The sequence below is a fragment of the Homo sapiens genome, chromosome 16 (assembly GCF_000001405.40).
Source record: "Homo sapiens chromosome 16, GRCh38.p14 Primary Assembly".
NCBI classification, from domain to species: Eukaryota; Metazoa; Chordata; class Mammalia; order Primates; family Hominidae; genus Homo; species Homo sapiens.
Genome location: NC_000016.10, coordinates 15,613,745 through 15,626,094, shown reverse-complemented (window position 1 = coordinate 15,626,094; position 12,350 = coordinate 15,613,745). Strand labels below are relative to the sequence as shown.

The window sequence follows — 12,350 nt, the reverse complement described above, 5'->3', positions numbered from 1 at the left end:
GGAGTGCAGTGGCACAGTCACTCCAGCCTCAATCTTCCTGGGCTCAGGTAATCCTCCCACCTGAGTAGCTGGGACTGTAGGCATGCACCACCATGCCCAGCTAAAGCATATTCTTTAAAACAATATTCAGTTACTTTGTCAACACTAAATAATTTACCCTCTCCCATCTAAATCACTGTCATCTTCTCTTCAAAGTTGTTAACTGAAGTTTGGAGGTCACCCATTGTTCTTATTTTGAAATTGAATGTGTGCCCTTGAATTAACCTGACGTAACACTTCTTTCCTCTGTATTAGCAGTGCCACACTCTGCTCTATGTTTATAACCTACCAGCAAATAAGGATGGCAAGAGCGTCAGCAACAGGCTCAGACGCCTGTCCGATAATTGTGGTGGGAAAGTGCTGAGTATCACAGGCTGCAGTGCAATTCTCCGCTTCATAAACCAAGATAGTGCAGAGCGCGCTCAGAAGCGAATGGAAAACGAAGATGTCTTTGGTAATAGGATCATTGTGTCATTTACTCCAAAAAATAGAGAACTCTGTGAAACAAAGAGTTCAAATGCAATTGCTGATAAAGTGAAGTCTCCCAAAAAACTTAAGAATCCAAAATTGTGCCTCATCAAAGATGCAAGTGAACAATCTTCCAGTGCCAAAGCCACGCCTGGAAAAGGGTCACAGGCAAATTCTGGATCTGCTACAAAAAATACAAATGTTAAAAGTTTACAGGTAATTTTGATACCTCTTGCTTTCTGAAGTTTATGGTAGGTTTGGTTTGTTTCTGTGTTTTACGTGCCCGCTTGCTTTTGGCGTGTCCCTTTTTGATTTCAGTGTTTGATGATACTCAAAGTCAATCGTTTTCTGTAAAGGATCTAACACATCTTGGGTACTTAAAATTTAAACCCCACTGTGCTTGTGTCTTTGAAGGAGCTGTGCCGCATGGAGTCAAAAACTGGTCATAGAAACAGTGAGCACCAGCAAGGTCACCTGAGGCTGGTCGTACCCACTCACGGTAACTCAAGTGCTGCAGTGTCGACGCCGAAAAACTCGGGGGTGGCAGAACCCGTTTACAAAACCAGTCAGAAGTATGTGAAACTACTCTTTCTCATAGCTGCTTCTTGAATGTGAAGGAAGACATATGACCTTTTGCCTTCAATTTTCCCCTTCTGTTAGAAAGGAGAACCTCAGTGCCCGAAGTGTTACCAGTTCTCCTGTAGAGAAAAAAGATAAAGAGGAGACTGTATTCCAAGTGAGTTACCCGTCTGCTTTTAGCAAGTTAGTTGCATCCAGGCAAGTCAGTCCTCTGCTCGCATCTCAGTCTTGGTCTTCTAGGTGAGTCCAGCTTCTTGACCCATGGGGGTGGTTACATGTAATAGGAAGGATTATGAAATAGTATGTTTGTTGAAAAGAATTCAGATAGTACTGAAATGCACAAAGTAAGTCTCCCATCACTCTTCTGCCAGTCCCCCTCTCCTCAGGTAATCATCGTTAACATTTAGGGGCAATGCTTTCACCATTTCTTCTTCCTCCATCTGGAAATTGTGGTAAGCAGAGGTCAGAAAGAGAAGCCTGTTGGAGAGTCCCTGGCCAGTGCAGGGGGGCATGTAAAGATGTCCCTATGTTCGCTGTGTTGAGGAAAAAGCCCAAACGAGCCGTGCATTGGTGGTTCTGATTCATATGGTTCTGTATAGGAAGCTATTTGGAAGTAAAGTTTTCTGTAAACCATGGTAATTATTTATCACTGTCTCTCACACCAAGGAATTCTTGATGCTTGGGAGACAGAGAAGCCGTAAGGCCGTGTTGCATTCCCATGAGCTCCTTTTAGCATTGTGTTTGTTCTGCTGAGTTGGTGGCAGATCACTGTAGAAAGTGACTATGGATCAGCCGGGCGTGGTGGCTCACGCCTGTAATCCCAGCACTTTGGGAGGCCGAGGCGGGAGGATCATGAGGTTAGGAGATCAAGACCATCCTGGCTAACCGGCTAACACGGTGAAACCCCATCTCTACTAAAAATACAAAAAATTAGCCGGGCGTGGTAGTGAGTGCCTGCAGTCCCAGTTACTTGGGAGGCTGAGGCAGGAGAATGGCATGAACCTGGGAGGTGGAGGTTGCAGTGAGCTCAGATCGCATGACTGCACTCCAGCCTGGGTGACAGAGCGAGACTCCGTCTCAAAAAAAAAAAAAAAAAAAGAGAAAGTGACTATGGATCTATAAAATTACATCTAAAAAGCCACATAAAAGTTTTCCTTATGTGCAGAAAGAACTGTAACATGTAGGCAAGAACGTTTAACTCTTTCAGAGACACAGAGGAGGTTAGACGCCTTAAATTGGTATCACAGGCTGATTTCCTAAGGATAATGCACAAAGCAGAAGGTTAATTCATCAGGACTGCCTCTAATTCCTGCCTTTAGCTTTAACCCAAAGGAAGAATATATATTAATTGGTTGGCGGTAATTAGGGGTCAGTAGATAGTACTTTTGACAATGTCTGAAATCAATGTGTATTTAAGATTAAAAACACAGCTGGGCACAGTGGCTCACGCCTGTAATCCCAGCCCTTTGGGAGGCTGAGGCAGGTGGATCACTTGAGGTCAGGAGTTTAAGACCAGCCTGGCCAACATGGTAAAACCCCATCTCTACCAAAAATAAAAAAAATTAGCTGGGTGTAGTGGTGCATGCCTGTAGTCCCAGCTACTGGGGAGGCTGAGACAGGAGAATTGCTTGAATCCAGGAGGTGGAGGTTGCAGTAAGCCGAGATCGTGCCATTGCACTCCAGCCTGGGTGACAGAGCGAGACTCTGTCTCAAAAAAAAAAAAAAAAAAAAAAAGATTAAAAACACATTTGAAAACCAAATGTTTGGTTTGGTTGTGTTGTGGAAAATCTGCTTCTGTATATAGTTTCAAACAAAGCCTAAATGATAAAATCTAAATATACAGAACAGTTTTTTAAAATAATGTCAATATGTGTGTTTTAAGCAGGAGTATGTCTCCAAACCTTTTAAACAGAGCATCCCCGCTTGCTTTCAACATTGCAAATTCGAGCAGCGAAGCCGACTGCCCAGACCCATTTGCAAATGGTGCTGATGTCCAAGTCAGCAACATAGACTACAGATTATCCCGGAAGGAGCTGCAGCAGCTCCTGCAGGAAGCATTTGCCAGGCATGGCAAGGTAACTTTTTCCCTCTTGTGCTTGCTTTGTTATACTCTCTGATGGAGTCTCTAGTCAAGAGGACCTAATTTGATATACATAACCACAGCCGGGATAGAAGTGTGACTGAACAAGTTTGAACTCCTTCCTTTTCCCTTTGGTCTGCTCAGGGTGGTGCTATAAATCCAGTTTTTACAATGTTAGCCCCAGAGAGCAAGACGCCTAGCAGTGAAAAGCTCTTGTCTTAGGCAGAAATTGAAATGGCAATTTGTGGCCAGGCATGGCGGCTCATGCCTGTAATTCCAGCACTTTGGGAGGCCAAGGCGGCCAGATCACCTGAGGTCAGGAGTTTGAGACCAGCCTGGCGAGTGAAACCCCGTCTCTACTAAAAAAAAATTAGCCGGGCGTGGTGGTGCACGCCTGTAGTCCCAGCTCCTTAGGAGGCTAAGGCAGGAGAATTGCTTAAACACGGGAGGCAGAGGTTGCAGTAAGCTGAGATGACGCCACTGCTCTCTGGCCTGGGAGACAGAGTGAGACTCCATCTCAGAAAGAAAAAAAAAAAAAGGCAATTTGATAAGTAAAACATTGATGGATTTCAGTTAGCTCTTCCTGCTGAAATACAGGTAGGATTCTAAAATAATGTTGGCTGGTCTTGTTTATGCCTTATTATATTTGACTCATTTTTTAGGTGCAATTTTGCTAAAAATGCACCTTTTTAGTAGATTCTTAAAAATGGCCATGTCCTGGGTTTTGTAGAGTCTAGAAAAGACCCCAAACACTCTTCCCATGTGTTGGCCTCTGAGCCTGCCTTGGAAACCTGTGTGTGCCAGAGCACACAGGCAGGCCGGGCCAGTGTCACATCTCTAAAGGTCACCCTATCCTCACTTTCTTACGTCCTGGTCAGCAGAAGAGCAGAGTTCAGACATACTCCTTCATGGAAGCGCTGCAGTCGACAAATGTGTTCCTTCATGGTTCACCTTCAGTTTTAAGACGACAGGGTTCTGGGCGGACATAGCGTTTAGTTTTCGCTTTTCCTGTTGTAGGTGAAGAGTGTTGAGCTCAGCCCCCATACAGATTATCAACTCAAGGCTGTTGTGCAAATGGAAAACTTACAAGATGCGATCGGTGCAGTGAATAGCCTCCACAGATACAAAATTGGCAGCAAAAAGATCCTGGTCTCACTTGCCACCGGGGCTGCCAGCAAATCACTCTCTTTACTGAGGTAAGAAACAAGCAAGCTGTTTATTTCAGGAAATAACATTTGACCCAGAAACAATTTTAGAAATAATAAAAATAGATTCAATCACATTCCCACCCCCTTGTGATGATTGCATGTGGAATAATGCTTATTCTAGATTGATACAGTTAGAAACAAGCCATTTGACTCTTGTCTAAGTCATTAATCAAAGCTGGAATACAGCTTAAACTTGACAGGCACTTGGGAGTAAAATAATACGCAACATGTTCAAATAGGTTCTAAAAATAGTAGACCCCTACAATAAAAGTTTATAAGCCTGAAAAGTCTAAAATATTACCTTGAGATCTTAGGTAGAAGGTAGATTTGTGTGTAAAGACTAGATCTACAAATCTTCAAGCTCTCCATTTGCAGATATATCCTTAGTGTCAAATAGATACTCAGCCCCATAAGTCTACCTTAAGACTATCTCAGTCTCAAGCGTCTGGTGATGGTTTTATTCATAGTAAAATGTGATACTTCTTTGGGTCTCCCTGTTTCGGGGAGACTGGCAAAACAGGACCCACTCCTGAGTGTTTCCTTGGATGATCAGAGATCTTTTTTCTAACTTGTACTTCACTATTACTTAAATTACGAGTTACGGGTTTTTTTTTTGTTGTTGTTCTCAGAATAAAAATGATGCTTATTGAAGAAAATTTGGAAAGTTTAGAAACATAAAAGAAGCAGGGGAAAAAAAACCATCCACAGGCCTATGGCCCAAAGCCAATTGCACTTAACAGTTTGGCATCTTCTTTTAGTTTTGTTTGGATTTTTTCCCTTTGAGCGTTTTTTGGTGCCTCTGGTTTTTTAAAACTGTAGTTGAGATTATGTTGTATTCAGTTGTGTATCCTTATCTATGGGAACGCCAATCACATATATCTAACAAACTGCAGTGTGGCAGGAGATATTTAAGCTCTTCTCCCTTTTGCTCTGAATTCATCATGCTTTTCTGCTCCACTGGTGTGGAAAACCCTATGATTGATACTAATTCTACTGTGTAACGTAATCTTCTTTCATTGCCTTGTCCCTAAAATCCTTTCTTTAAATTTTTCTGGAAAATACATTCTGACATACCAGAAATCCGTAAATTTATTTTGCATATGCACTGGGTTAATTTTATGAACTCTGTTTATATAACTTGTAATATGGAGGAAATGGTCTGTTCCCTAATCAAACTTCTGTTTTACAGTGCAGAAACAATGTCTGTTCTTCAGGATGCCCCTGCCTGTTGCCTGCCTCTGTTTAAATTTACAGATATCTATGAAAAAAAGTAAGTTAGGTATATTTTTTCTTTATCCAGTCAGTACTGATTGGTGGCTTACATGCACAAAACCATGGTAATGACTCTTGAGGAACTTCAGCCTGGTAGAGGAGAGGAGACAGAGACACTGGCATTCAGATTTACATGTCAATGAATGTTTAGCAGACAGTTTTAAAACGTCTTTTATTTTTAACAAAGTTAGACCTTTGGTCCTCAGTGTTGTGCTTATTTTTCCCCTAATTGACTAGCTTTAGTTTGTTTTTTTTGTTTGTTTGTTTGTTTTTTAATTTTTTTGGAGACAGAGTCTCGCTCTGTTGCCGAGGCTAGAGTGCAGTGGCACAATCTCAACTCACTGCAACCTCTGCCTCACAAGTTCAGGTGATTCTCATGCCTCAGCCTCCCGAGTAGCTGGGACTACAGGCATGTGCCACCAAGCCTTGCTAAGTTTTCGTATTTTTAGTAGAGACAGGGTTTCGCCATATTAGCCAGGCTGGTCTTAAACTCCTGACCTCAAGTGATCTGCCCACTTTAGCCTCCCAAAGTGCTAGGATTACAGGTGTGAGCCACTGCGCCTGGCCAAGTTTTAGTATTTATTGGATGAACATTTTTAAGCACTAGACTATAAGCTCCAGGACAGCAGGGACTAGCTCTGCCATAATACTGTATCCTAAGCACCCAGCCCATAGTAGATGCTTAGCAGGGACTAGTGAGTACAAGACCAAGGCACTGCAGAGAAGGCAGAACTGGGCAAGACTTAGGTCTTGTCCTTGAGGAGCTTATGTCTAGCGGGAAGAGAAAATGCTCGTGAATCCTTATGGACAGTGAAGAAAACTGATTGGAAAGGAGGAGAAAAAGCTTTGAGAACACAGAGGAAGGGAAGAACAAGGAACTTGGCCATTATCCCACAGGTAATAGGGAGCCACTGAAGTGCTGGAGGAAGGAGGGGAGGGGAAAGGTGTGGTGATGGGAATCATGCTGCAGGAAGACTCTTCTCGTAGCAGTGGTGTCTGAGAGGGCAGGAACAGGGGAGAGAAGGAGGCAGAGAGGGAAAGTAGCTACATCAGTCCAAATTCAGAGCAGATACTGTTGGGACAGAACTCGATGTTACAGAAATGTCAAAATGTCAAATGTCATTGAAACTAGAGTGGGTAACTAATTTTTTTTATTAAAAACAATTTTTATTGAGCCAGGGTCTCACTCTGTCACCCAGGGTGTAGTGCAGGGGCACGACCCTAGGTCATTGCAGCCTCAGACTCCTGGACTCAGATGATCCTCCCATCTCAGCCTTTTGAGTAGCTGGGACCACAGGCATCCGCCATCCTGCCCAGTTAATATTTTTTAATTTTTGTAATGAGGGGGTTTTGCTATGTTGCCCAGGGTGGTCTTGAACTCCTGGCTTCAAGTGATTCTCCCTCCTAGGCCTCCCAAAGTGCTGGAATTACAGGCACGGGCCACCACGTCCAGCCAGAGTAACTAGTTTTATGTAGCAAGCAAGGTAAAAGGGAGAGGTCATTTTGATTCTGAGTGTTTTGCCTTGCATGACTGGGATGATGGTTGCACAGTTAAACTGGAAATAGGGAAATAAAGCATGGCAAGGAGGTACAGCAAGTTTTTGGTCTTGGTTTTGGACATTCAGGTTTTAGGGGCCATTGGAGTAGCTGGGTGGAGAGGTCACATAGTCTTCTGCACATTGAGGGACTTCTTTGGGAGAGAAGTAGGCTCTGGAGATAGGGCAGTCATTTGCCTTTAAGACGATTGGGACAGACTAGAGAGCAGATAAGGTTGGGAGGGGGAAGGAGAAATAGAGGGCAGGAATGGATGGAATGCCACCAGGGCCAGGGATGTGGGCGAGCACCCAGGATGTGTGCCAAGAGAGCACATCAGGAATGGGGGGATCCAAGGCCATGAGGAAATGCATGAGGTGTGGGGATGAGGCAGAGGCCGCTGATAACTTTTGAGTCATCACTACAGAGTCCTGTGGCTAAAATCCAGTAGGGAAGGGGCTGAGAGACTCGGGGGTAACACAGCAGAAGCAGCTCCTGAGCAGCTGGATGTTTCCATTACAGGGACAGGGTAGAGTACGAGACTGAGAATGAGAGTACAAGGGAGAGTGTGTCTCTCCGGGAGGTGGAAGAGGACCAGGGGCTGGTTTGGTAGATGGGAATCTGAGCATATGTAGGACACTGGGAAGAAAACACTGGTCAGACAGTGAGAAGACCAGGGAACACTTACTGAGCACTTACTATGAGCCAAGTTCTGTCCAGGCCTAACCACACTTAATCCTCACATTGACCCTGTGAGATAGGCGCTATCATCACCCCATTTTACAGATGGAAAAAGTGAGGCCCCGATTGGTCGTGGAACTTGACTAAGGTCACACAGGTTGAAGTGGAGTCAGGATGTGAACTCAAATCTGCCAGCCTCCAGGGCCAGTGCCTTTAAGTTCCAAGTAAGAAAGATACAGGTCAGGAGGAGAACTGGGGAGTCCAGTGTCAGAGGGTGTGTGGATCATGCAGTTGAGGCATAGGAGAGTTGAGAGGGTCACGGAAAGCACATATACTTCTGAGAGGGGAGAATGGGGATGGTGAGAAGTAACACAGAGAATTGGAAGTGAGGGGAGCTGCATCGAGAGAGGTTTCCAACTCAAGAGAATTTGGTGAGGTCACTTAAAGAAACTGGGCAGGGGCTGGGGGTGGCTTTCAAATGAAGTGAGCATTGTCATGGTCGGAGCCAGAGACGACTCAGGAGTACCAAGCATCACTGGTTTGCTAGTGAATGAATTTGTAGTAGAATTATTCCAGTTTTACCTTTGAAGAGATGGAGGAACCATTCTTGGTTATTGTTCTTTATTTAAACAGGATGCGTGTTTCTGTATAATCAAAGAAAAACCTTCTAAGTCAGCGTCTCTCTTCTCTTGCTTTTAGGTTTGGACACAAGTTGAATGTGTCAGATCTATATAAATTAACAGACACGGTCGCAATCCGTGAACAAGGAAACGGACGGCTGGTGTGTCTCCTACCCAGCAGTCAGGCCCGCCAGAGCCCCTTGGGGTCTTCCCAGTCACACGACGGCTCCTCCACGAATTGCAGCCCAATTATATTTGAAGAGTTAGAATATCACGAGCCTGTCTGCAGACAGCATTGTTCCAATAAGGATTTCAGGTGTGCCGTTCGTTTTCCTTTAGAAGTAATTCTTTTCTATAAGATTGTGGAACATGTTAGGATGACCTTGTGAACATCTTAGACCCCTGCGGAATGTCAGCTTCCAATTGTGTTCTCTTTTCTTCAGCGAACATGAATTTGATCCAGACTCTTACAAGATTCCTTTTGTGATTCTTTCTTTGAAGACATTTGCGCCCCAGGTTCACAGTCTTCTCCAGACCCACGAGGGCACCGTGCCTTTATTGAGGTGAACCATCTCAAAGCCTTTGTCGATATAATGCCCTAGTTCTGCTTTTTATAGGAAGCCTGCCCTTTCTGCCCACATCTCTTTACAAATAAGTACTCTACAATGCTTCATCCTCATGTGTTTAGCCTTCAGTCAAAGTACAGTCATGCACCACATAACAAAATTTTGGCCAACCATGGACTGTATATAGGACAGTGGTCCCATAAGATTATAATCACATATTTTCACTAGACCTTTCGATGATTAGATACACAAATACCATTGTGTTATAGTTGCTCACAGTGTGTAGTACAGTAACAGGCTGTCCAGATGTGTAGCTCGGGAACCATGGGCTGCACCAGCCTAGGTGTGCAGTGGGCCGCAGCATCTAGGTTTGCATAAGTGCACCTGATGATGTTCTCAGGTGACAGAATCACCCAGCAACACATTATTGAGTACATATCCCCATCATGAAGCAGCACGTGACTGTTTATCTGAAATGGGATCCATTCACTCAGTACTTCAACAAGAAAATGTGTGTTTGCGCTACATTTTAGAAACGTAAACGTGAGGAGGGCAGATTCTTCCACAGAGGGGAGATGTATCATAAGTGCTGCAGTCGAAATCTCCACAAGTGTTGAGAGTACACAGCTTCAAATATGCATACATTTCAAGACTTGTGAGAGAAAAGTATTCTTCAGAAGTTCATTTAATCACTCCATGAGCCACAACAGTAGACTTAACACAAAGGCCAACACAGGACTCAGTGGCCTGCACGTCCCTGCTGATGTGGAAGCAGACGCGTAACTGACTTGGAGCCCAGTTGCCCTATTTTTAATCCCCCTCCTGGAAAACTACCCAGAAAATGCCATCAGAATGCATCAGAGAGGCCAGTGCCTCAGTGCTTGCCTCCCTGGGTCCTTAATTTTAACCTTCAAACCTGGTGGTGGGCATTCAGACAAATGATTAACACATACATTAAACCAAAGCCTTCTGTTTAGCAAGCGCCTCCTTTTCTGTTATTTTGATTTAACCTTTCCTTTTTTTGTTGTTTTTTCCTATTTCAGCTTTCCAGATTGTTACATTGCAGAGTTTGGCGATCTAGAAGTAGTGCAAGAAAACCAAGGAGGTGTTCCCTTAGAACACTTCATTACCTGTGTTCCAGGTGTAAACATTGCCACTGCTCAGAATGGCATCAAAGTGGTTAAATGGATTCACAACAAGCCCCCGCCTCCCAACACTGGTAGGTGTCAGGTATTTTGTCCTGGAGCTACCACCTGTCCACTATGAGACCAGAGGAGGCTATTGGCTTTTATTTTAAACAGCAGCACAATTTGCCAAGTGTGAAAACACCATGGATGTGTCCTTTGATCTTTTGAAAATTCCTAAAATGCTTGAGGGGTTGGCGTTACTGGACTTTGTTTTATTTTTTATTTATTTATTTTTTTTGAGACGGAGTCTTGCTCTGTCGCCTAGCTGGAGTGCAGTGGTGCGATCTCGGCTCACTGCAACCTCTGCCTCCCGGGTTCAAGTGATTCTCCTGCCTCAGCCTCCCGAGTAGCTGGGACTACAGGCACCAGCCACCACGCCCAGCTAATTTTTTGTATTTTTAGTAGAGACAGGGTTTCACCATATTGGCCAGGATGGTCTTGATCTCTTGACCTCATTATCCACTTGCCTCCGCCTCCCAAAGTGCTGGGATTACAGGCCTGAGCCACAGCAACCGGCCTAGACTTTGTTTTTTAGATAGGGCCTTGCTGTGTTGTCCAGGCTGCTCTTGAACTCCTGAGCTGAAGATGTCGTCCCACTATGGCCTCCCAAAATGCTGGGATTACAGGCATGAGCCACCACACCTGGCCAGTTTGAAAGTACCAACATAAGCTATGTAAAAAATTTGAAACTCAAATTTCACATTTACAGATCCTTTTAGCAACCTAATTTTGTGAAGCTTTTGGCTTGCCAGTTGACTGACCTTTTAAAAATAGTTTCAGGGGCTGGGCCTGTTGGCTCACACCTGTAATCCCAGCACTCTGGGAAGCTGAGGTGGGTAAATCACCTGAGGTCAGGAGTTCAAGACCAGCCTGGCCAACATGGTGAAACCCCATCTCTACTAAAAATAGAAAAATCAGGCATGATGGTGGGCACCTGTAATCCCAGCTACTCGGGAGGCTGAGGCAAGAGAATCACTTGAACCCAGGAGGTAGAGGTTGTGGTGAGCTAAGATCAAGCCATTGCACTCCAGCCTGGGTGACAAGAGTGAAGCTCTGTCTTTTTTTTTTTGAGACGGAGTCTTGCTCTGTTGCCCAGGCTGGAGTGTAGTGGCACAATCTTGGCTCACTGCAAGCTCCGCCTCCTGAGTTCACGCCATTCCCCTGCCTCAGTCTCCTGAGGAGCTGGGACTACAGGCGCCCGCCACCACGCCCGGCTAATTTTTTTTTTTTTCTGTATTTTTAGTAGAGACGGGTTTCACCTTGTTAGCCAGGATGGTCTTGATCTCCTGACCTCATGATCCGCCCGCCTCAGCCTCCCAAAGTGCTGGGATTACAGGTGTGAGCCACCGCGCCCAGGATTTTTTTTTTTTTTTTTTTTTTGAGACGGAGTCACCCTCTGTCACCAGGCTGGAGTGCAGTGGCCGGATCTCAGCTCACTGCAAGCTCCGCCTCCTCGGTTCATACCATTCTCCTGCCTCAGCCTCCCGAGTAGCTGGGACTACAGACGCCTGCCACCACGCCCGGCTATTTTTTTTGTATTTTTAGTAGAGACAGGGTTTCACCGTGTTAGCAAGGATGGTCTCGATCTCCTGACCTCGTGATCCGCCCGCCTCAGCCTCCCAAAATGCTGGGATTACAGACGTGAGCCACCGCACCTGGCCGAAACTCTGTCTTTAAAAAAAAAAGTACTTTCAGGTATTTGAAGGAAATACCACTTAATGCAGATTTACCTTCGAAAGTCATTTTGGTCCACGTTTTGGACTTTGATAAATGTGAAAATAAATTTAAAAGACCAAGGTATTTGGACCTAGACTTGGGTGAGTGTCTGAGTTACGGGCATGTCCTGAGTTGCAGATATCCAAGGCTGCTGCCCGTGAACGACACTTTACTTGTTGCCTTCCTGTGTATACACACATACTTCCTCCTCTTTGTCCCCAACACTTTTGCTTCTCCCACCTCCCTTACCCTACAGGAAAAAAGGTGAGGATAACCAAGGAATTCTTTCTGAGTCAGCCTGCTCTTAGGAATGTGTGTACTCAGGTTTCTTACGGGACACCTCCTTTCTTTTCCCTCTGTCTTAGACTTCTCAGGGGCCATAGATTATGCCACTCCTCCTT

At 44.8% G+C, this 12,350-nt stretch overlaps 1 protein-coding gene across 31 annotated transcripts in view; it reads left to right on the top strand.

Annotated features, from left to right (window-relative positions):
- MARF1 (meiosis regulator and mRNA stability factor 1) overlaps nucleotides 1-12,350 on the top strand; it is a 48,768-nt gene that overhangs the window by 17,060 nt on the left and 19,358 nt on the right. For 5 of the 31 annotated variants that reach the window (XM_017023906.3, NM_001184999.2, NM_014647.4 and 2 more), the window contains exons 8-16: nucleotides 295-723; nucleotides 922-1,079; nucleotides 1,168-1,326; nucleotides 2,972-3,161; nucleotides 4,184-4,362; nucleotides 5,564-5,644; nucleotides 8,560-8,796; nucleotides 8,924-9,043; nucleotides 10,090-10,265. In XM_017023906.3, coding sequence (XP_016879395.1) covers nucleotides 295-723; nucleotides 922-1,079; nucleotides 1,168-1,326; nucleotides 2,972-3,161; nucleotides 4,184-4,362; nucleotides 5,564-5,644; nucleotides 8,560-8,796; nucleotides 8,924-9,043; nucleotides 10,090-10,265 — 1,729 coding nt within the window. Of the gene's footprint in view, nucleotides 1-294; nucleotides 724-921; nucleotides 1,080-1,167; nucleotides 1,327-2,968; nucleotides 3,162-4,183; nucleotides 4,363-5,563; nucleotides 5,645-8,559; nucleotides 8,797-8,923; nucleotides 9,044-10,089; nucleotides 10,266-12,350 lie in introns of all 31 variants that reach the window. The other 26 variants (XM_017023905.3, XM_005255704.2, XM_017023900.3 and 23 more) reach the window with 11 other exon arrangements.